Raw genomic sequence first — 21,638 nt, 5'->3', positions numbered from 1 at the left:
ATGGACAGCTAGATATGAGGAATAAGTTCTTGTGTTCTATAGCACTAGAGGGTGACTATAATTAACGGCAATTTATGGTGTATTTTCAAACAGCAACAATGGTAGACTTTGAATGTACCCAACAAAAGGAAATAATAAATGTTTGAGGTGATGGAGATACTAATTAGACTGATTTAATCATTACACACTGTATACATGTATCAAAACATGTGATCAAAACATCACACTGTACCTCATAAATACGTACGATTATCATGTCTCAATTAAAAATAATAATAAAATAAATCAGCATATAAAAATAAGCTAGTCACACAAAAACAGCAAGATTGAATTTGTCTACAAGATGGCAGATTTATCAATACATTACTCAAAACCTTAGCATCACAATTATGATGACAGTATTTGTAAAATTGTATATGAAGTTTCAGGCTTTTACTATTTCAGATTAGTTCAAATCACTATTTCAAATCAAATCTCAAATAATTTTCACTTTCATCGATATCAGAATAAAACATATTTAGGTCCTCATCATTTATTGGGAGTCTAAGCAAGGACCTGCTCGTCCAATTCTAAGATGAAAATTTTCAAAAACAGTAAAATGCTACTAAGCTCTCCCAAACTCAAAACCTATGTTGTGATTACTTGTGTTACTTATCTATTTTTTTTTATATTGATGCAGATGGACCTTATGGACTTCAAGTGAATTCTGATAAAGGGCTAAAAGTAGGGGAAGTGTTTACTGTTGACCTTGGAGAGGCCATCCTATTTGATTGTTCTGCTGATTCTCATCCCCCCAACACCTACTCCTGGATTAGGAGGACTGACAATACTACATATATCATTAAGCATGGGCCTCGCTTAGAAGTTGCATCTGAGAAAGTAGCCCAGAAGACAATGGACTATGTGTGCTGTGCTTACAACAACATAACCGGCAGGCAAGATGAAACTCATTTCACAGTTATCATCACTTCCGTAGGTATGTGTGACATACAAGGAAGGGATCCTAATAAAACATGAATGCATGCTGGCCTTGCACTTCCCCTATCTTATACCTAGGTAGAAAAGAAAATCATTGTGGGATTATTCATATATTCTAAAAATCTCTCTTTCCAAAGTTAACTAAGCCATGGTTTCTATGACTCAAAGAAAAAAAATTCAAAATGAAATAGGGGAGAAATTCAATTCAATTGTGAAGGGCTATGAAGAAAAAGGGAATTCCACAAATTACTTCTAAATGTGCACTCTTACTTTCCTAGTTTTATGAACAAAAATATAAGAGAAACAGGCTGTTCATTTAGAGGGTTTATATCTACCACTGCATTAGGTCAGATGAATAAGTCTCCATGAGTTGGGAATCTGGTTTTCCTACTTCTATTTGATTCCCCTTCTCACTGTCTTTCATGGGCTCCCCTTCCTCTTCCACCATTTAAACAGCTGAAATCTATGGAAGTTCACAAGGGGAGTCTCAACACCTTGGAAATTACAAAATTCTGTAAGTCTGTGAAATTTGGCTTTCTCTAGAAATCATCTGATTTTCAGAAATGTCATCAACCCGCAAAGATTAAGAATTACGGCCTAAAATATTGATGTCCACCAAATTCTCATCCTTCTACACCTTCTCTTCTCTCTCTACAGAATGGTTTTATTCTCCTGTATGATTTTCTGTATGATTTCATTCATTTCCATGTCTTCATGTAACACTGGTACATCCCAAATCTATATCTTTAAAGCTCTAAAACCGTACACCCAGCTGCCTCTGGATGTCTCTGCTTGGAAGTGCCAGAAGCACCATACAGGTCTGATATATCAAAACTAAACCATCTTCTTTCCCCCAAAATTGCTATTCTGTCTGTATTGCCTATTTAAGTGAATGGCCCTACTAACTACCAACCTAAGACAGAAAGCTAAATGTCATCTCAGACTCATTCCTCTTGCCTATTCCCTGGTCCCACATTCAGTCACCGAGTTGTGTCCATTTCCTTCCTTCCTATTTCTCAGATACATTTTCTTCTCTCCTTCCTCCTTCTTTTGCCTTTCTTTACTTATTTCTTTGTATTCTCTTCTCCTTCTCCCTCTCCCCTTCCCTTTCCCTCCCTACTCCTCTTTCTCCTTTTCCTTTTTCTTCTTCCTCTTCTATGACTACTTCTACTACTGCTAAGTCCTTCTCAGACTCTCCTTTGCACACAAGTCAAATGCCACTTGGGCAAAATCTGGGAGCAGGTTTGGACAGGACATGGTGGTTAAGGTACCTATGACTGGTGGAAGAACAAGTTTATAAAAGCTACTACTCATTAATATCTTTTCTATTGATGCCTTCTCTTTCTTCACCTTTATAGCACTGGTACCTAGAAAAAGACCCATAATACAGAGAAACTCAATATGTTTTGTTGAATAAGTGATGCAACAATATAATTTCTTGTAATCCTTAGGCTCAGTTTTTCAGTATGTTGCCCTTGGGCCATCTGCATCAAGATCACCTAGGGAGGTCGCTAAAAATGTAGCTTCATTAAGACACCTCAGACCTATTGGATCAGGATCTTTCAGGTAGCACTGGAGAATCTGAATATTCAGCACATACAAGTGTGACAACCACTTGTTTAGTATATTTTATCTCCAGAGTGTTTTGAATTTACTAAAAAGTTCCTAAAGAGCCATGAAGAATTATAAGACTATCGCAAACCTACAGGTTGATAAATGTATAGTGAATGGGTTTCTCGTAGGTACTCCTTGGTACCAGGAGGAAAAATCACCTCGGTATTTTGGGATGTATATATTGTCATGGTGGGGGTTTTTTCATATGAAGAAAATGCACTGTTCATTATGATAGCCACTAACCTCATTTGGCTTTTGAGCACTTAACACATTGAGCACTTAACACAATGTGCTTAACACAACTGAGAAACTGAATTTTTAATTTTATTTCATCTTTATTAATTTTAATTTGAATGTAAATAGCCACATGTTTAGTGGTTACCATGTCAGACAATGCAGCTCTAGAATTTTTACCTGAGTTGCTTCATTTGGGCAGTAGATAATAATATATATTTCTTGTAGACCCAAAAAGCATATGTGTTTTAGGGTGTTATAAATTAAGCACCCATTCATTCATTTTTTAGCACTCACTATGGGCCAAATATTGGAGTACGCACTAAGAATAACATATGAGAAAGGTAATTCCTCCTAATAAGAATTCCTGCTCACAATCTAACATGAGTGGCAAACACATAAACAGCTGAGGTACATCCTTTGCTTTCCATTTTATTAATTTTTATAGGCTTAACCAGATTTTCACCCCAGTAGCAAACCAAGACATAATTGTACAGCAAGCCATAATTAAGCACATAAAATAGTAGCAATCCTGGTATCATCTTCAGCTTGTTTCTCATGCTCACTGCAAGTGAAAACATGGCTGTAATGGGTAGAAGTATACTACAGTAAGGCTTTCCCACTGCCTAAACTTTCTGCATTAATATTTAGCTAAGATATTCTCATAATATCAGAAGCCCCCAATATTTGATTAAGATCTTATTACCAAGGTCTAAAGACAGCTACAGTCTTAACGTCAGATAATTGCCTTTTGCAAAATCTAAAAAACCTGTTTGACCTGTACAAAGACCAAGCATTTGTTATTATAGTAAATAAGAAGAGCAGGTGCTTATTTTTCAGAGGGATTCAGAGCTGTCAATATTAGTGACCTCTTTGTGGCTTTTAGAGCTATTTTCTAACCCCCAAATGTCCACAGAGCTTTAACTCAAACAGCAACAAGATGGCAAAGAAAATGAATAGTATTGATGTGTTTTGTTAAATATTTGTTTTTTCTAAGTTTCAAAGTTAATGAACCTCAGCAGGACAGATTAAGTATACATCAACCTACAGTTATAAATGACCATCACTTGCAAGTATCAGTTGAGCCTACTCTCCATCCACTCTGAGGAGTAAACTCTTGAGATCTGTGGAGAATTTGAAATCATTTAAAAGGTTAAAATACCTGCTTTTGAGATGTTTCCAGAACCAAATTGGTGTTTGGTGTCGCCAGTGAAGCTGTAAGTAAGAGATTAACCTCTTACTTCTTAATAAGGCAAAACATTTGGCTGACCAAAAAGTTTTAGCAATAAAACGTGGAAGCCAAAGGAAAACAGAGCCAGAGATGACTCCAAGTTCACAGATATGGAAAGAAAATGACAAGGTCAGGAAATAATCAAGTTTTATTGGGGATTTTCAGTGGGGAGAGGAAGGCTGGAGAGAACAATTAGTTCTGTGTTTTTCTCTTTCTAAGACTACAGCAAATGGTGACTTTCCCCTCTTTGGACTATGATTCACATCTAATTTGAGATATTAATTGACCTTTTTGTATCTCCATGGAAATATCCTAAAGAAAACAGAGACAACAGGCAAGTTCACACAGCTAGTAAGTGATAAATAATATCTGAATTCAAAGCCTTTTTTTTTTTTTTTGAGATGAAGTTTCACTCTTGTTGCTCAGGCCAAAGTGCAGTGGCACAATCTCGGCTCACTGCAAACTCTGCCTCCTGGGTTCAAGTGATCCTCTTGCCTCAGTCCCCCAAGTAGCTGGGATTAAAGGCACGTGCCACCATGCCTGGCTAATTTTTGTATTTTTAGTAGAGATGAGGTTTCACCATGTTGGCCAGGCTTGTCTCAAACTCCTGATCTCAGTTGATCTGCCCACCTCGGCCTCCCAAAGTGCAGGGATTACAGGCGTGAGCCACCACACCTGACCCAAAGCCCTTGTTTTTAACCACTATACAAACTGTCTCCTTTGATATAACTGAGAATGTTGGTGAAACCATATGGTCTTTCTAAAAGGTAGGTATAGGGTCACTTTCTCATCACCTATCCAATTTAATGCTATGTACGTGTACTTTCTCATCACCTATCTAATTTAATGCTATGTACGTAGAGATACTCTGGTTTGTCTACAATGTGTATAATTTCATATTAATGCAAAGTTAGGAAATACTTGTAACTGAAAATAATGTCTATGATAACATTTCAAGAAAAGAATAGCTATTAAAATAATAAATTAGCTTTGTGTTTTGCAAAACAAGATTTTATTACCTTAATTACGGACTTCCTTGAATGCAGATGTCCCTACTTTAAAGTTTTAACTGAGCCAAAATTGCTATTGTGACATGCAATGTATAGACAGACAGACAGAGAGATGATAGATAGATAGATAGATAGATAGATAGATAGATAGATAGATAGATAGAGAATGTTTATGGAAATGTAATCATCTGATCAGTATTCAAATGTTCACATTTAATGAAGGCATTCAATTGTATAAATAGAATTCCCTAAGGCCATGTGGGCATAGTTTGAGATTTATCCATAATAGAAATGTTTTCAATTTGTACGTGATCCTGAGAAAGCTACCATTTTTTACATTTATTTATATTTCCCAACTTTTCTTAAAGAAGAGAACAGGAAAAAGACTCAAGGCAGGAAAATGAATTTACTAATTTTTTCTATCTGGAAATTTCTCAAGTCAAGATGTCTAGGAAATGTATTTCACTTTGGGTCTTTGGAAATGACAATTAAGATAGAACTACAAATCTGACATTCAGACCCTGAGACCTAAGGTGATGTCTCCATGAGCATCCAGCACTGAACAACTGTGTCTGTCAGTGGGCCTATGATGGAGTGTGGAAATGGCACACTCCTCAACGTGGCACCTTCATCTCCGGAGGGACATGAGTCAGCTGCCATAATCAGTGAACAGATTGGATGAGAGAGATCTCAAGACTTCATTTTGATGTAGAAATGGATACACAGACTGGTAGCATATGGCTGTCCTGCCACTGAGTGCAGTCTCAAACAGCAGGGTTGCGATACCATGGATACCACACCTCTTGACCATATTTGCACTTAACATGTTATTCCATTTTATTTGTTTGCCTAAGGAGGAGGCAAATAGCATTTGCACTATGGCTTTGGCACATGAGTCCATCATGTTTAAATAATGGGGAGAATGGCATGCTATGTGCTAAAGAATAGTATAAACTCTCTGAAAGGAGAAAGAAGGAAGCTCCTGCAGGTGTCCAGAACTGCAGAAGTGATCCCTATACATTCTCTATGGCAATAGGGTCAGAATTTCCTGCTGTCTTATTTTCAAGTTCAGGTTCTGGAAGTTCATCTTTGCAAAAACACTTGCCTGCAGCTGAGACCACAACAACTGTGCCCCTTGATTTGATCCTTTACATATTTGGCACTTTTTGTGTGTGTGAAAGGAACAAATTTCAAATGCTGGACCTAGTAAATCTTGTGTGTTCTGGGATAGAGGAGCAGTGTTGAGAGCAGAGAGCCAGAATGCTCTAGAGAAGAGGACTAACAGGAAAGATCATTTCTTCCGAGAAAAGGATTGTCCCTATTCCTCATTCTCCATTGGGAAGACTCTTGGCCTTTGCCACAGCCGTGGTTTTGGGCTGACAGGCACTGGTCACTACAGGAAAGCTCTCTGATGTAGGGCAAACACAGGCCAAGGGAAGAGGCAAGAGGGCAATAAGGAAGGAGCCTAAAGAAATAAGGAAGTAATGGAGGAAGGAAACAGTGGGATCCTCTGTAGGAGAGAATGTGTGCAAATTAGGTCATTTTAGTAAATACATATCAAAAGGGACAAAAAGTTAAAAATGAAGGAGAAGGGAACATATGTATCTTATCTAGTCTAAGACATCCAGTCATTGTATATTAAGCCTACTGCCTGACTGGAGAATCACAGAAGTGTCTGGCAGAGAGCTGATGCCGGCCAGAGTGAAGCTTCACTATTAGAACGGGAACTGCTTGGAAATAGTAATTATTAGCATATGTTCAAGTTTAAGAGGGAAAAAACAGCCGAGACTACTCAAGTGTTTTTCAGCAGTTTTGCTGATGGTAAAGCACATTGCAAAAACTTGAATAGAATAAATTAGCATTGAATTCTTTTTTGAGGAGTCTTCAGGGGTTATAGAATTTTGGTGATGGCAGTCTGGCTATTAAGAAGTGAAAGATTTGAAGCACATGAAGTCGTATGTCAGAAAAAGTTAGAGGAAAAACTGATATGTAAGAGCCTACCTACTAATTGGAAAAACCAATCTTTGACCACAGATTAACAGAAAAAAAGTTGAACTTGCAGTCAGAAAAAAACCTGTCTACTCTCAATTCTAGGACTTACTGACTATGGCAAATATTTTAGTTTCTCTGAGACTCTTTCTTTATCTGTAACTGTAAATGGTATGAATTTTCTTTTGTAAATGGAAAACAAATTGTACATTTGATTTTATGTATATATAATATTTAATATATATTTAATTGTGCATTATCTGAAAATTCCCTTAGCTAGTTTTTATTTTATTGTCAGATCTAAAATGACGAAATAGAGAATTCACTTGCTAAAAGTGGTGCCCAAATCATACGATATATGTTAAATCTTGCCACTCTATTATTTGGTATTTTTTTTCAATTCTTTCTTTTTTATTATTTATTTCTTACCAGTTTTTCTGGTTTTTGTGGTTTTTTTTTTTTTTTTTGGTTTTTTTTTTTGCTTTTTTATCACTGTCACTGTCTCAGAGAGCATTCTATTTGCCTTTATCTTATTGACAACCGCAGTGAAGTATGGGTCCTTCTAAATTTATGTCTTAGAAATGAAATTAAATTTTGTTGGGCTTCCAAAAGTGCACCTCTAGGATGGTAGAGAATCTGGAATCCAGTTATGTAAAGAACAACAAAATGATCTTGGGATGCTGAATCTGAAGAAGAGGATTCTCAGGGGGAGATGTGAGTTTCACCAAACAATTAAGATGACATCATATACAGAGAGGATTTGATTTATTTGTCATTGCTTCAATTGGTAGAACTGAGTAGATTTGGGCTTCATTTGGGAGAAGGACTTTGTTTCTTCTATAATGATTAGGTAAGAGTGGTGGAAAGAGCATGGAATTGTTGTTAGACATTGCTAAATTCAAATTTGAGTCCTGGAGTCTTAGATTTCCCAACTGTAATATGAAACTAATTATTGTATCATAGAAGCAGTAAGTGGTATAACTATTGATTAGAATTTTTAATCCCTAAAGTCTAAAAGACAAATAAAAATGTATAACTAACAAGGAAATAGAGAAGAAAAGATAAATAAAATTCTGATTAATCTAAATTAGGACAAGAAAGGAGAGAGCAAAGGAATAAAAAGGTAGGAAATATAGAAAAAATAATAAGATTGCAGATCTAAACTGAAATATATTACTAATCATACTAGGTCTTAGTGCGCTAAATATTCCAAGTAAAAAACAAATGTCAAACTGGATACACACCTTATGTATGAAGATACTGAAAGGTTTTAATTAAATAGATGAACAGATAAACCATACAAAAAAGAAAGCTAGCATAGCTATATAGCAGGTCTTCTAATAATGTTATTTCATTTCAACATCATTTCATTATAATATTGATGAGAAAAAATATCAATTCCCACTGGGGCCACTGTGTGTGTGCAGTTTGCACTTTCTCCCCCTACCTACATGGGTTTTCTCCAGGTATTCCAGCTTCCTCCCACATCCCAAAGATGTGCACATTCAGTGAACTGTCATATCTGCATAGTCACTGTCTGAGTTAGTGTGGGTATGTGTGTGAGTGTGCCCTGAAATGGGATGGTACCCTGTCCAGGGCTAGTTCCGGCCTTGTGTCCTGGGCTTCCAGGATAGGATTCTAGCCACCTGCAAGCCTGAACTAGAATAAGCAGGTTGGAGAATGAATGAATGAATACGAATGATTGTCAAATAAAAATTTATAAAGACTAGGATAATCATATAAATGCATGACAATAAATGATGTGATATGAAAGTGCTCCGCAAGACTACCAGATTTGTGATGTTAGTTTTTGAACTGCATGATGCTAGGAGGTGCTTTTTACAACTTTCACTTTGTAAACATTTATTCCTTGATTTAACCCATTACCACTACCACTGCCATCATTCACAGATTCACCAAAAATTGAGTAAATAACGATCTTACTTGTTTTATTAATCTTTATTCAATGTATGTATTCATTCAATTTATTTCAGTGTTTGATATTAGAAGTGTTTGGGATCTTTATGTAGAACTCTGATATTTTTCTGACCAGAAATATGTTGTAGAGACTTAGCTCTTGTTTATATCAATTAGCCAATGGTTAAATTGATTTCATTATTTGTTGTTTTGCTCAGTCACAGTTTCCAAGAATCAGCTGATGTTAAGTGAGGACTTACCGTACTGGTATAAGATAATGTACATAAAAATTAGATGAATTAGATAAATTCTTCAAGACAAGAAGCATTAGGAAGTGCACCTAATAAATAGCAAAAATTGACCGAAAAAAATCACAAAGTGGGAGATTTTAACATATTTATTTCAGTAACTAATAAAACAGACAAAAACTCAGTAGGAATAGAGAAAACCTGCCTCACCTAGTTGAAATAATATAAATACTACATACAACAACAGCAGAATACACCCTTTTCATATGACTATTTGTATAGTCATTAAAAAAAATCAACAAACTTCAAAGGATTGCCCTCTAACAAGAATGAAATTAAACCAAAAATCAATAATAGAAACACCACTAGAAAACTCCCAAACTTAAGAAAATTAAGCAACAGACTTCTAAACCCATAGGTCAAATAAGAAATTGCAGTGAAAATTAGAAAACATTTTGGACTTAATGATAATGAAATTACTATGTTTTAAAACTCAGAAAAATGTTGCTCTATAATTACATTGCCTACACTTGAGGAAATGAGGGAAAAAAATAGTGGAAATTAAACTTAAAAGTGTATTGTGTGTGTTTATAAGGTGTGTTAACATATATATGTGCAATTTTTTGAAGACTTTGTTACTAGCATGCCACAGATATAGGGTCCTATTTACATAACTTCATGTAAACTTCTCTGGCTCCCCCAAGTCATAGAGTATCAGAGCAAGAAGAGAACTTAAATGCCAGTCACTCTTTCACTCTTGCCTCCTCATTATACTAATGTGAAAATCAAAACCCTGAGAGTCAAGGGGCTCACCCAAAGTTACACAGCTCTTTAGAGAGAACAATCCCACAAGAGAATAATATCTGAGAAAAGGCTAAGATCTCACAAAGAGACTACCCAAGTGCAAAGTGGTTCCAAACTAAAAGGTCAGCCTTCTAACAGTGGGAGAATATAAATTATTCTACAACTTTTTATGAGGCAAAAATAATCTAAAAAGCTTCATGATGTTCTAGTCTATATCTAGGATCAATAAATTGCCATTCTAGTTCATTTGAAGCTGCCTTGCATTTATTTCTTCTAGCCAAGGTTTGAAAGAGTTTAATTTAAAATCTGTTTAAAGGCAATAAGCAGGACACAGATATTATAATCCCATAGAATAACATTTTAAGAATGCAGTTCTCTGAACGCATGTCAGAAATTTATAAACTCCCCATCAGAAATGGTGAAGATTTTTGATAATGAAAAACAACCTTGTCGAACTCTTTAGGACTTAAGGGAAATATGTGAATGGTGCTGTATTGGGAAATTAGAAGAGATAACCGATTTCCATGATGTGTTTACTCGATTTTTGCACATATGATCTACACTACCTTATTAAAAGATTCCTGTAAGATTAAGAAATGGAAGTATTCTGAGTGGAAAAGCCAAGAGAGTTAATGTAGGTTCATACTGAGAGAAAGAAAAGATTAAGGCTTCCTCCCTTATTTTGGCTGTTGGAGATCTCAGCAGAGATTTTATGATGAAAGATGACACAGTGCAGGCTGGATATTTATTGCAGAGCTGTGTAGCCACCATGGTCTTTACCACACCCAGATTTTCCAGGCTGTTCACCATTGCTGAATGGAAATGGCATCACATGACTTTCACTCACACATTAATCTGGACAGAGACAAGCAACTGCCATGATTTATTTCCACACCCATATCTGATTCACATGGTAATATGGAAGACATCTGTTACTTTCATTTGTTGGAGGTTAAAACTACTTCCTATTATATAGATTGACTATATAACTAAACATATTATAACCTGAAGCTGGTGTTAACATAGCCACAGTTAATAAGTTGTGTTAAAATTATATTAAAGGGAGGCATCATTAAGTGTTAAGAGTCTGGGGTAACATCTGGATTCTACCACTTATAACCCAAGTGACCTTGGGCAAGACTCAGCTTCCTCATCTATTGGAAGGGATGATAAAATAATCTCTCCCTGGTAGGATTGTTGTAAAGATTCAGTGAGTTAATATGTATCATGCACCCTTAGAACAGAGCAGATGTTATTAGCACCGTATTTTATATAGTGATATTAATAAAGGGAATGACTGATAAAACAAAGTGAATTCTAGTCAAAAGGTGGGACTTTAAATATTTTTTTGAAAAATCACACATACATCCTATTTTAAGAATTGACATTTCTTTTTTCTTTTTAATTTTTTTCATCATTTATGGTAAGAGACATTTCTTTATTGGCCAAAAATTACTAAAGTGTGTTTGAAATGAACACCTCCCCTCTTGCACCTTTAATCACATACCATCTCCCTAGAAAATTCACATACTTGAATTATGCTAAAAAAGCAAAATGGAAGGAAAATGAGAGAACAACTTAGCATTTAGGAATGTAGAGACAATGAGATGAAACAGATCTAAGGTGGCAAACATCACTGAGAAGTACGACATGAGATATTGGCTACACCTAGTACAACACAGTCAGTTTTAACTTGGGCAGTGCACCACGTTTCCAATCACAGGTATCCCTAGGGAGTTTAGTGTGTGTTCTAAAATAAGTGCATTCCTTCCATTTGGTCTCTCTCTCTCTCTGTGTGTCTCTAATATACGTGTTTATATATTTTTTTCAATAGCGTCTCATTTAAAATACGGCATTTAAAAAGTCAAGTTATATACTGTAGCAATTTATTGCTAAAAATATGTTTATCTTTTTATTTAGGACTGGAGAAGCTTGCACAGAAAGGAAAATCATTGTCACCTTTAGCAAGTATAACTGGAATATCACTATTTTTGATTATATCCATGTGTCTTCTCTTCCTATGGAAAAAATATCAACCCTACAAAGGTAGGTTAAAATTACAAAAAAAAAATTGAAGCTGTATATATGTGTACTAAAAAAAACCTTACCATTTTTCTTCTCTCTTGATTTTAGTTATAAAACAGAAACTAGAAGGCAGGTAATGCATCTGTTTCTATGAAAATAGTTGTTTTCCTTAGATGCTTATTCCTCAATTATTATCCCTGACAAAAATACCTATTTTGTCTTTTCAGGCCAGAAACAGAATACAGGAAAGCTCAAACATTTTCAGGTAATGGCCAAGCTGAAAAGGGCTATTATCAGTTTTAATGTATGTTAATTAGTTGTGTTAATATTATTATATATTATTAATGTAATATAATTAATATGAGCTAAAATTAATATAACAGTCTCTTACCTTTGAGTTAGTGCCTTCACTTTACAAAGTGCTGTCTTCTGTATTGGTTTTATATAAGTCACACAAGTCTGTAATATCAGGCCTGGAAGCACTCTTAACTCCATTTTACAGTCAAGAGAACTAATAATCAAGGAGATTAAGTCACTTGTCCACAGTCAGTAGGATCAAAGAAATTAGTTCTGCTAACTCATTGATCCTATTATTATTTTGAAAATGCCAAAGGGTTCTATCACTTTGTTCATTCCTAAGGTAGGTTTCATGCTGGCAGCTCCATCCCAAAGAGAAGAGGAAAAGAAGATTTGGCAGGGGCCAGGATTGCTTCTTTGTCCCCACTGTAACCCTCATTATCATCAATATTGACTGTACTGACTTATTATAAGTTAACAAAGTTTTGGCTCAGGCCACAAAATCACAGGGAGCCAAGTTTCAGTTTTATTTCCCCTCATGTCACCTTAGGAAAATTATTTTTCTTAACCGCAACTTCCTCTTCTATATAATAGGGATAAAAACTTCCCCCTTAAGGTTGCTATGAGAATTAAATAAAATGATATAGGTGGAGTGCCTGATATGATGCCTGGATGTGTAATAAATGTGGGCCTTCTTCCTCTTTTCTAGCCCTTCCTGACTTATAAGTGACAGAATGTCAGAGCTGGCAAGGGCCCCAGAGGCTATCTGGTTCCTCCTAACCACCTCCCCCGCCATCATTCTATAGATGATAGTTTATGTGGATTGATAGTGTAATGTATTTTACTTTTTATGTATGGGAAGCTTCAGTTAGCTATTTACTCTTTTTGTTCTGATGATCTGTTACATCTGTTAGATCTGTTAGATCTAACAGGGTGCAGTAGATATTACGGGTGGATCAAGAACTGGTGTGACCTTCAGGCTTAAACCCTGGTGACCATGAGTCTCTGGTAACTGCAAGTTACAAAGGCCAAGGTTGCCCACCTGTGTGTATTTAAAGATGTAACAGGCTATTCTCACGTCTGGCTTTAAGAATAATTGTTCCAATTCAGTTTCGATTCTCAGCTTCAGAAAGAGTGATTTCCAACACTGCTTAATGGCAATACGACTATAGGAATTAGGAAATGTTAAATTCATTTTGTACCTATACCATTTAAAACAGACAATAAAGATAAGTTTTACAAAGGTTTAAAAAACAACAGCAAATCAAGGCATTCGGTTTGTAAGCAGTATTTGTTTTACATTTCAGGCCATGAAGATGCTCTGGATGACTTCGGAATATATGAATTTGTTGCTTTTCCAGATGTTTCTGGTGTTTCCAGGGTTGGTTTTCCTAGTGGCTGATTAACCGAGAAGTAGAATTCTGCTTCACCAGAGGTGTAAAAAGCATTTGTTTAAGCACTGGGCAGTGTGGTCAAATGGCTGCATTACCCATTACTGCATTAAGCAGTGTTGACTTACTCCGTAATGAATGGCATTGCCAGATTTGGGAAGCTAAAGCATCTTACTTCGCCTTTATAAGTAAAGCTAACACAAATAAGGAAGTTATGCTAATTCATAAATAGTCTTTACCTGGTAATCTCAGTGAAGAGAGAACTAACTAGGTTGAAAGTCAAGAGAACTGAATAAACAAGCTGGGCGTGGTGGCTCACATCTGTATTCCTAGGGCTTTGGGAGGCTGAGATGGAAAGATCACTTGAGCCCAGGAGTTTGAGATCAGCCTGGGCAAAGACCCCATCCCAACAAATATTTAAAAATTAGCCAAGCATGGTTATGCATGCCTCTGGTCCCAGCTTCTTGGGAGACCGAGGCAGGAGGATCATTGAGCCCAGGAGTTCAAGGCTACAGTGAGCCGTGATCACACTACCGCACTCCAGCCTGGGCAGCAGAGTAAGACCCTGTCTCAAATAAATAAATACTGAATAAACAGCGGATCAGGAGACCCTAATTTAAGTCATTCTGCATCACTTGGGTGACTGCAACCCATCACTTTACTAAACTCTCTCTGTTCCTCAGTTTTCCCTTTATTGCCCCCTCATATCTTTTGACAACATTGCAAAGACAATTGATCACACCCTTGAAGATACCTCATGCTTCAGAAGGAAGTTACCATATAGGCCCAAAGTATGCAAGTATACATCTTTATTATTGCCCTAAAGGTGCATGAGATGGCAAAGGAGCTTTCATATAGTTGAAGTCATTTCAGTCCGGAAAAAAAAAAAAAAAAAAGATCTTTTAAAGTAATCAGTTTTTCTTAACAGACATGCAGAATGTTTCTGTGAGCAAATCAGATTATTAACATTTTTATAGATTTGTATAGAACCAAGTTTTCCTCTGCTTCCTTATTCTGCTATGAGAGTCCATTTGAGGAAGGGCACCATAAAAACAGATTACTTGCTTCCAGGCATTCTCATTTCCATTTGTTAAAAAGACTATTTGCCATTAGGGAATCGTGACTTCTCTTGTTCAGAGGATTCTATCAGTGTATAAGGTTCATCTAGTAAGCTTCCTCGCCACAGAGTTTATTTGAGAAATGTCATGTGAGTAATGGAGAGGGACTGATTGGATTTCATCCTCCCTAAGGGTGAGTCAGTAACAGTCACAGATGAAGCAAAGAACTACTGTGCAAAGGCTTTGCAATACCCTATTCAATCTCAGGCAGGATTGGCTCACCTTCACTTCCACAACCAAAAGACAAAAACAAATATTTGATGGATCAGTTATTTCAAACAGCTTCTCACGATGGTAGAAAGCACCACTCTGAGGTGTGGCTTCAAATTGGAGAGCAGGAAACTGAAGAGCTAAGACTTATAATTGAATTTTTGAATAAGGAGTTTCAGTTTTTTTATTTAAAATAATGCAAACATTTATTCCTAGGAATTCACTGGAAAGGAGTGAGATTTATGTAAGAAATTTTAAATCTTACCATGTGATTAATCACTACTCAATTTTGGAGTTTTACTGGGAGGACCTCAATTGGCTCAAAATATTATAGCCCTGAAGAACTTAAGCAGAGAAATAGGGGCTTTAATTACATAGTAGAAGCCCTGCTTATTTCTATCAGAAACAGAATAACTTGATTTGGAGCCATGTCCATCTTCAAAGCTGCAAGCTCCTGAGGAATCTGCTGAGGTTCTTAATTGGCCATTGCAGGTGCTTTGGGGAAGAAGTGAGAAATCAAGACCAACAACCAAAGGAGGAGGATGAGGACAGGGACATGAGGAGGAGGATCTGCATGAGAAGCCAGAATGGCAGCTATGTATACGTAGCTATGTAATGGAAGATTAGCAGCCAAATGCAATGGCCTTTAGAAAAGAAGGAAAGGTGATAATAAAACCAAGATCTCAAAACTGAACTTGAGAAGGGAAATAAATTAAATTATTAACTTTCTGAGTTTTTAAAAATCAAAATAAGCTAGGTGCCACGGTGTGCACCTGTAGTCCCAGCTGTTCAGGAAGCTGAGTTAGGAGGATCACTTGAACCCAGGAGTTCAAGACCAACCTGAGTAACATAGCGAGACCCTGACTCAAAAAAAGATAATCAAAATAATCTCTTGGCATATTGTGTGGTATGTACACAAATGGATTACTTCTGTCTCTACCAATTGCACATTTCATTGTCCATTTAGCACCTCTTTCAGGAGTTAGACAGAAAACAATTGCATTAAGTGAGCAAGTTTATTATTTAACAGCTCTAATATTAGGTTAGGTAAGTTAGTGATCATCAATAGATTGCTTTTACCGTAGCTCCTGAATACCTTCATACAACAAATATCAAGAGCTGATCTCAAGGATAGATCGTAAACCAAAATTTCCTTGACACAAAAATGACAGAAGAAATCACATATACTAAGGCTTCATGTGAGAGCTATAGCAAGTGGAATGGAAATTAGTGGTTTCTAGAAAAACAAAAAGCTAAGATGTTCCACTAAAACCTAGCAGGTCAAATTAACATGAGATAGTGAACTCTTCAGAGTTATCAAGAGCAAAGAGCCCTCGAGGTGAAGGTGTATAAATATGAAGGACTGAAAGTGGACAGAAGTAGGATTAAAATAGGAAGCATTTGGGATGGGGAGGAAAACTAGACTTCGGCTAAATAATTGGGAGGGAGTGTTTATAGGAAGAAGGAAGTTATGAAATATAAGGAATGGGAATTAATAAAACACAAATACCACTTTCAATAAAAATACCTGTTGGTTTTTACCAGCCATAAATACACTATCCTTTCCACATTCACCTAAGCATTTAGTTTTTACAGTCCATTACTACATTTAAACCAAAACATTTTCCTTTGAGTGTTCCACATTCCTTGGTACTGTCTTTACTTATTTGCAATATGATGAGGGATTTGGGCTGTATATTGTTCTTTTCTTTTAAGCCACCCTTGCGCACATAATTGGCAAATAGTGTCAAAAGGGTAACTGAGGTATAGAAAAGATAATGATATATGCTATCTGATTCTAAGATATCCTGATATCTTCTCTTTTGCTATTTTTTCTTTCTATAATATTTCCTTTACAGTACTGCCAGCTTTCTTCTTAAATGAAGAAAAAATCCATAGCTTTGTCAAGCTATCCTTCTTCTGACCTTATAGCTATGCTGCTGCACAAACTGCCATAGGGTAAGTGCAGAAAAGTGTAGCAAGGAGGAAGTCAACTTTCTAGGGAAGATAAATAGTTCTAATTCTCTAATCATCACTACTGCCAGTTGTTTTCAACTATGCAACATAGTGGAAAAACTATTTACTAGTCTTGAGATAATTTATTTTTAATGTATCACATTTTCTAGATCCCAAGCAGGTCTGTTCCAGCCTCTGATTGTGTATCGGGGCAAGATTTGCACAGTACAGTGTATGAAGTTATTCAGCACATCCCTGCCCAGCAGCAAGACCATCCAGAGTAAGTACGAATCTGCATTTGATGGTGCTATGGAGAGGCTAAGCATTTAGCTTTTGCTTTCCCCAGAACTGATTAAAAGGCACAGAAGAAAAATACCAAAACAAGAAATTATAGCTTCTGTACATTTGAACACACTTCCCCACCTGAGCATAATTTTGAGAAACAAAACAGGCAAACACACAAATATCTTCGAGGGCCATGCACTTGGGCCAGTGGACTAGATACAAAACTCTAGAATCAACTTTCTCTTGTGTACATTAGTTTCTCACAATATTTCCCCAAGGAATCCACATCTGGGTATGAAAGGAATGTTCAGGCTAATTCTGTAGCCATCTTAATGATTACTTAGTGATTTTCCAGTGGCTATGGAAGTTTTATGGATGATTTGTCACTAAAAATAGGACCAGTAAAATAAAAGCCTACAGAGGGTCCACAGCACAGTCAGCACCAATGCCAATCCTCTTATTCAAAGTAGCCTATTCCCAATTGAGTGGAACCCCATTGAGGACTGGCCTCTCACCCATAGAGGACAAAACCTGTACTGAGGACAAAGCTGGGAACCTATTTATCCAGTTAAGCTCAAGGCTGTCACTAAGAAGTCTCCCTTTCCTCCATGCCGTGGAGAAATAAAGCCTACAATCTTTTGAAATAATAAAATGAACTTCTCTTTTTTGTGGGCTATAGCTGCCTGCAGTCATAACTGCCACAGATCATCTTCCATCATTTCTTTGTCACTTATTGACTTTGAAAAGAACATCAATAACCACATACAGAAACTTGCCCTCTGGCAAAATAAACAGTTTCAGCAAAGTAATTCATGCACACTTCTGGGTAAATACCAAAAATAACAGCTAGGAATGAACAAATCCAGGAAAAATCATCTTATGGTGAGGAAACCTAGTGCTGGGGGGACTGTGCGTCATTTAAGGACTAAATAAGTGGCAAGATACTTCAGAGAACCTCATCAGAGAAAATTTACCTAGAGTCACATAAATAAGGAACAGACTGTTGGAGTTAGGAACTTCTAGTTTGAAAAAAAAATGTTGTAAAGCATTGCATTATCAATCTAGTAGAACACAAGAGTAGGATATTATTACATGATATTTTAAGAATAAAAACTCTAAAATGATACCTAATTCTCTTTACTGTCTATAATAGAAAACTAGGGGAAGTTTGTTTGCTGTTAAATATAAGGCATTGAAAGAATTTTGAGATTATGTCTCCTTTCTAAGATTTAATCTAATTAAAATTTCTATCCTATTTAAGTTCATTTGTTTTTCTATGTATCCTTTCTTCTAACTATCAATTTTTCACATTAGAATGTAAACAAACCAAATGACAACTTGGGGTTTATCTTTTAAGGTTATTAAGAACGAAATAAATTTTAAGTCAAAATTGTGAATATGGCAGCTACAATTTAAGAACACAAAATAAACTGATTGGGTTGTTTTGCGTGTCAAAAAACTGATTCTTAAAAAAAAAACACCCTTTGAAACTAGATGACTTTTAGACACTAGCAACATCTTTTGACTTTCTTAAGAATATAAAAGTTTATTTCATAAATAAGATTTGAGAATTGAAAACAAAGCAGAAATGTTCTTTTTCAGGCATTCAAAACTGCTATTTAAAAAGTATTCAAAACCGCTATTGGGACATGGTCCTCCAAAAGGCAGTCATCTTCAAAACCCCAGCTCATGCTACCAGCCCAAACTGAGTGACATCTCCACCTCCCACAGCCTCTCTCTTCTCACCTTCTTCTTCTGTCTTCTCAATCTTTTTTGTGTTTGTCAGTTCATCTATGTAGATCTTTGTCTTCCAGTGGCTCTCTCTTCTTTTACCTTCATCCTTTGAATCCCTCATTTTCTGAGTCTACCCTTCTCTTTTCCTCTCCTTCTCCATAACTGTCTCCCTTATCCGTAATATCCTTCTTAAAATTTTCCTCCTCTGTCTGTCTTCCAGCATTATCTAAACGGGGAGCCAATATTTTCTAAAGTGTTATTTTATTTGAATTCAGATTTATGTTACTAATTCTAAATTTTTTTAATAAATAAGTGAAATGCTTCCTTTTTCTTTATCAGAAACTATTTTGCACTTATTTTACTTATAATCACTTCACAAACATTTCCAGGACATTTACTATGCGCTAGAGCAAGACGTTAAATAAGACTCGATCTTTTAAAGATTTCCTAGTATAGTGGGCTGCTGTTTACTTATTTTAACTAAAGATTAGTGATTCTTAGTAAAATAAATATTTCTCAGTAGAATAAATGCCACCTATAGATGCAGAGAGCATTTTTCTTTCCTGATTATCTGTGGTTTTATTCTCCTCTAGGTCCAATTAAATTCAAAGATCAACTTCATGAGTAATGCATTATTATAGGTGGTTGGTGACTCTCTCCCATCTATTCCCAACTTGAATGTGCCAGCTCTGGGGAAAGAATCCTAACTTCTCTGCTTTCTTTTATTTGGCAGTCACTTCTGAGTAGGAAAGACAGCCAAACAATTTTATTCTTTGGCTCTTAGACTGTTGTAAAATAACAGTGTTATTTTCTTTACTTCATGTGTCTATTACCTAATTGGACTGCTGTTTAACAAACTGGTAAATTGGTTTGTGTTCATATTCTAGTACTCAGCCCAATTATTTATTTAGTGAACTTATGGCTGGATGTATTTCAATGTTGTCTATTGACCTCATTAAATGCTCTTGGTAGGGTTTATATTGAACCCAAGACTGACGTTAGTATATTGAAAACAGGACTTTCAAGTTAAGTAAACCTTTAGTTTCGAAAGTAAATTATCTACAAAATTTAATAATTGCTGACTCTTATATTTATTTGTTGATAAATGTAATTTTCTTGAGCTAGCTCCAAACATTCTTCTAATCTGTAGCCCTGGAAAGCAATAAAAGAATTTAAAGTTCTTTTACCTGCAGACCTGAAAAATCTATAGAACTGTTTACATATTTTGTATATCTCTTCACTAGGTGAACTTTCATGGGCTAAACAGTACATTCGAGTGAAATTCTGAAGAAACATTTTAAGGAAAAACAGTGGAAAAGTATATTAATCTGGAATCAGTGAAGAAACCAAGACCAACACCTCTTACTCATTATTCCTTTACATGCAGAATAGAGGCATTTATGCAAATTGAACTGCAGGTTTTTCAGCATATACACAATGTCTTGTGCAACAGAAAAACATGTTGGGGAAATATTCCTCAGTGGAGAGTCGTTCTCATGCTGACGGGGAGAACGAAAGTGACAGGGGTTTCCTCATAAGTTTTGTATGAAATATCTCTACAAACCTCAATTAGTTCTACTCTACACTTTCACTATCATCAACACTGAGACTATCCTGTCTCACCTACAAATGTGGAAACTTTACATTGTTCGATTTTTCAGCAGACTTTGTTTTATTAAATTTTTATTAGTGTTAAGAATGCTAAATTTATGTTTCAATTTTATTTCCAAATTTCTATCTTGTTATTTGTACAACAAAGTAATAAGGATGGTTGTCACAAAAACAAAACTATGCCTTCTCTTTTTTTTCAATCACCAGTAGTATTTTTGAGAAGACTTGTGAACACTTAAGGAAATGACTATTAAAGTCTTATTTTTATTTTTTTCAAGGAAAGATGGATTCAAATAAATTATTCTGTTTTTGCTTTTATGTGGTCTTAATTCTTTGTCTTGTAGAGTAAAAATATTACATAAAAATCAGATTGTAGACGTTGGTTTTTTAATCCTTATTTCCCAATGTGCAATCAAGTCTAGATTATAGGGAATTATAAAAATAAAGATCTTGCTCTCTCATGGCCTATTATTTTAAATAGAAGAAAAGAAATCTTAAAAATAGAATTTCTTTTCTAAAAGTTTCAAGCAAGCCAATGTAGGTACATTGCCCTTCCTGCATTTTCACAGAAGCACATGGTGAAAAGAAAATTAAGACTTTAGTCCCATGACTCCTTTCTGGTCCTCTCTCTCTACTACCCTTATATATTGTTCTGTTGGAAAAGTCCATCAGTTCTACCACAAGTATTTTCTTCTACATTTAGCAAAAAAACTACTGTATCTGATTAGAAAAGAAATTCATGCCCCTTGTAAAAATATATGTGTACTTGGAAATGCAGAAGACTCACCATAAAACAATTAAAATCACTTGTAATCTTACTCCTCTGTTAGCATTTCCCCAGATTAGTTATGTACATATTTATTCATACTCCTTCCAATTCCAGAAAAGATTCATGGTAGCTCATATAAATGCATAATATCACAAGATAAAATATGCCCAAAAAGTAAAGTTGATAAGGAAAACAGGATGAAAGAACAATGAGAGGC

At 35.7% G+C, this 21,638-nt stretch overlaps 1 protein-coding gene across 6 annotated transcripts in view; it reads left to right on the top strand.

The window, feature by feature from the left end:
- HEPACAM2 (HEPACAM family member 2) overlaps positions 1 to 21,022 on the top strand; it is a 43,752-nt gene extending 22,730 nt beyond the window's left edge. For 5 of the 6 annotated variants that reach the window (XM_011516001.3, NM_001346642.2, NM_001039372.4 and 2 more), the window contains 7 exons: positions 680 to 976; positions 11,946 to 12,071; positions 12,159 to 12,183; positions 12,278 to 12,315; positions 13,655 to 13,728; positions 17,193 to 17,302; positions 20,286 to 21,022. In XM_011516001.3, the coding sequence (XP_011514303.1) occupies positions 680 to 976; positions 11,946 to 12,071; positions 12,159 to 12,183; positions 12,278 to 12,315; positions 13,655 to 13,728; positions 17,193 to 17,302; positions 20,286 to 20,289 (674 nt within the window). In that variant the 3' untranslated portion in view covers positions 20,290 to 21,022. The remainder of the gene's footprint in view (positions 1 to 679; positions 977 to 11,945; positions 12,072 to 12,158; positions 12,184 to 12,277; positions 12,316 to 13,654; positions 13,729 to 17,192; positions 17,303 to 20,285) is intronic. The other variant, NM_001288810.3, reaches the window with a different exon arrangement.

This window comes from Homo sapiens, chromosome 7 (assembly GCF_000001405.40).
Source record: "Homo sapiens chromosome 7, GRCh38.p14 Primary Assembly".
NCBI lineage: Eukaryota > Metazoa > Chordata > Mammalia > Primates > Hominidae > Homo > Homo sapiens.
This window is presented reverse-complemented; position numbering and strand designations above follow the sequence as displayed.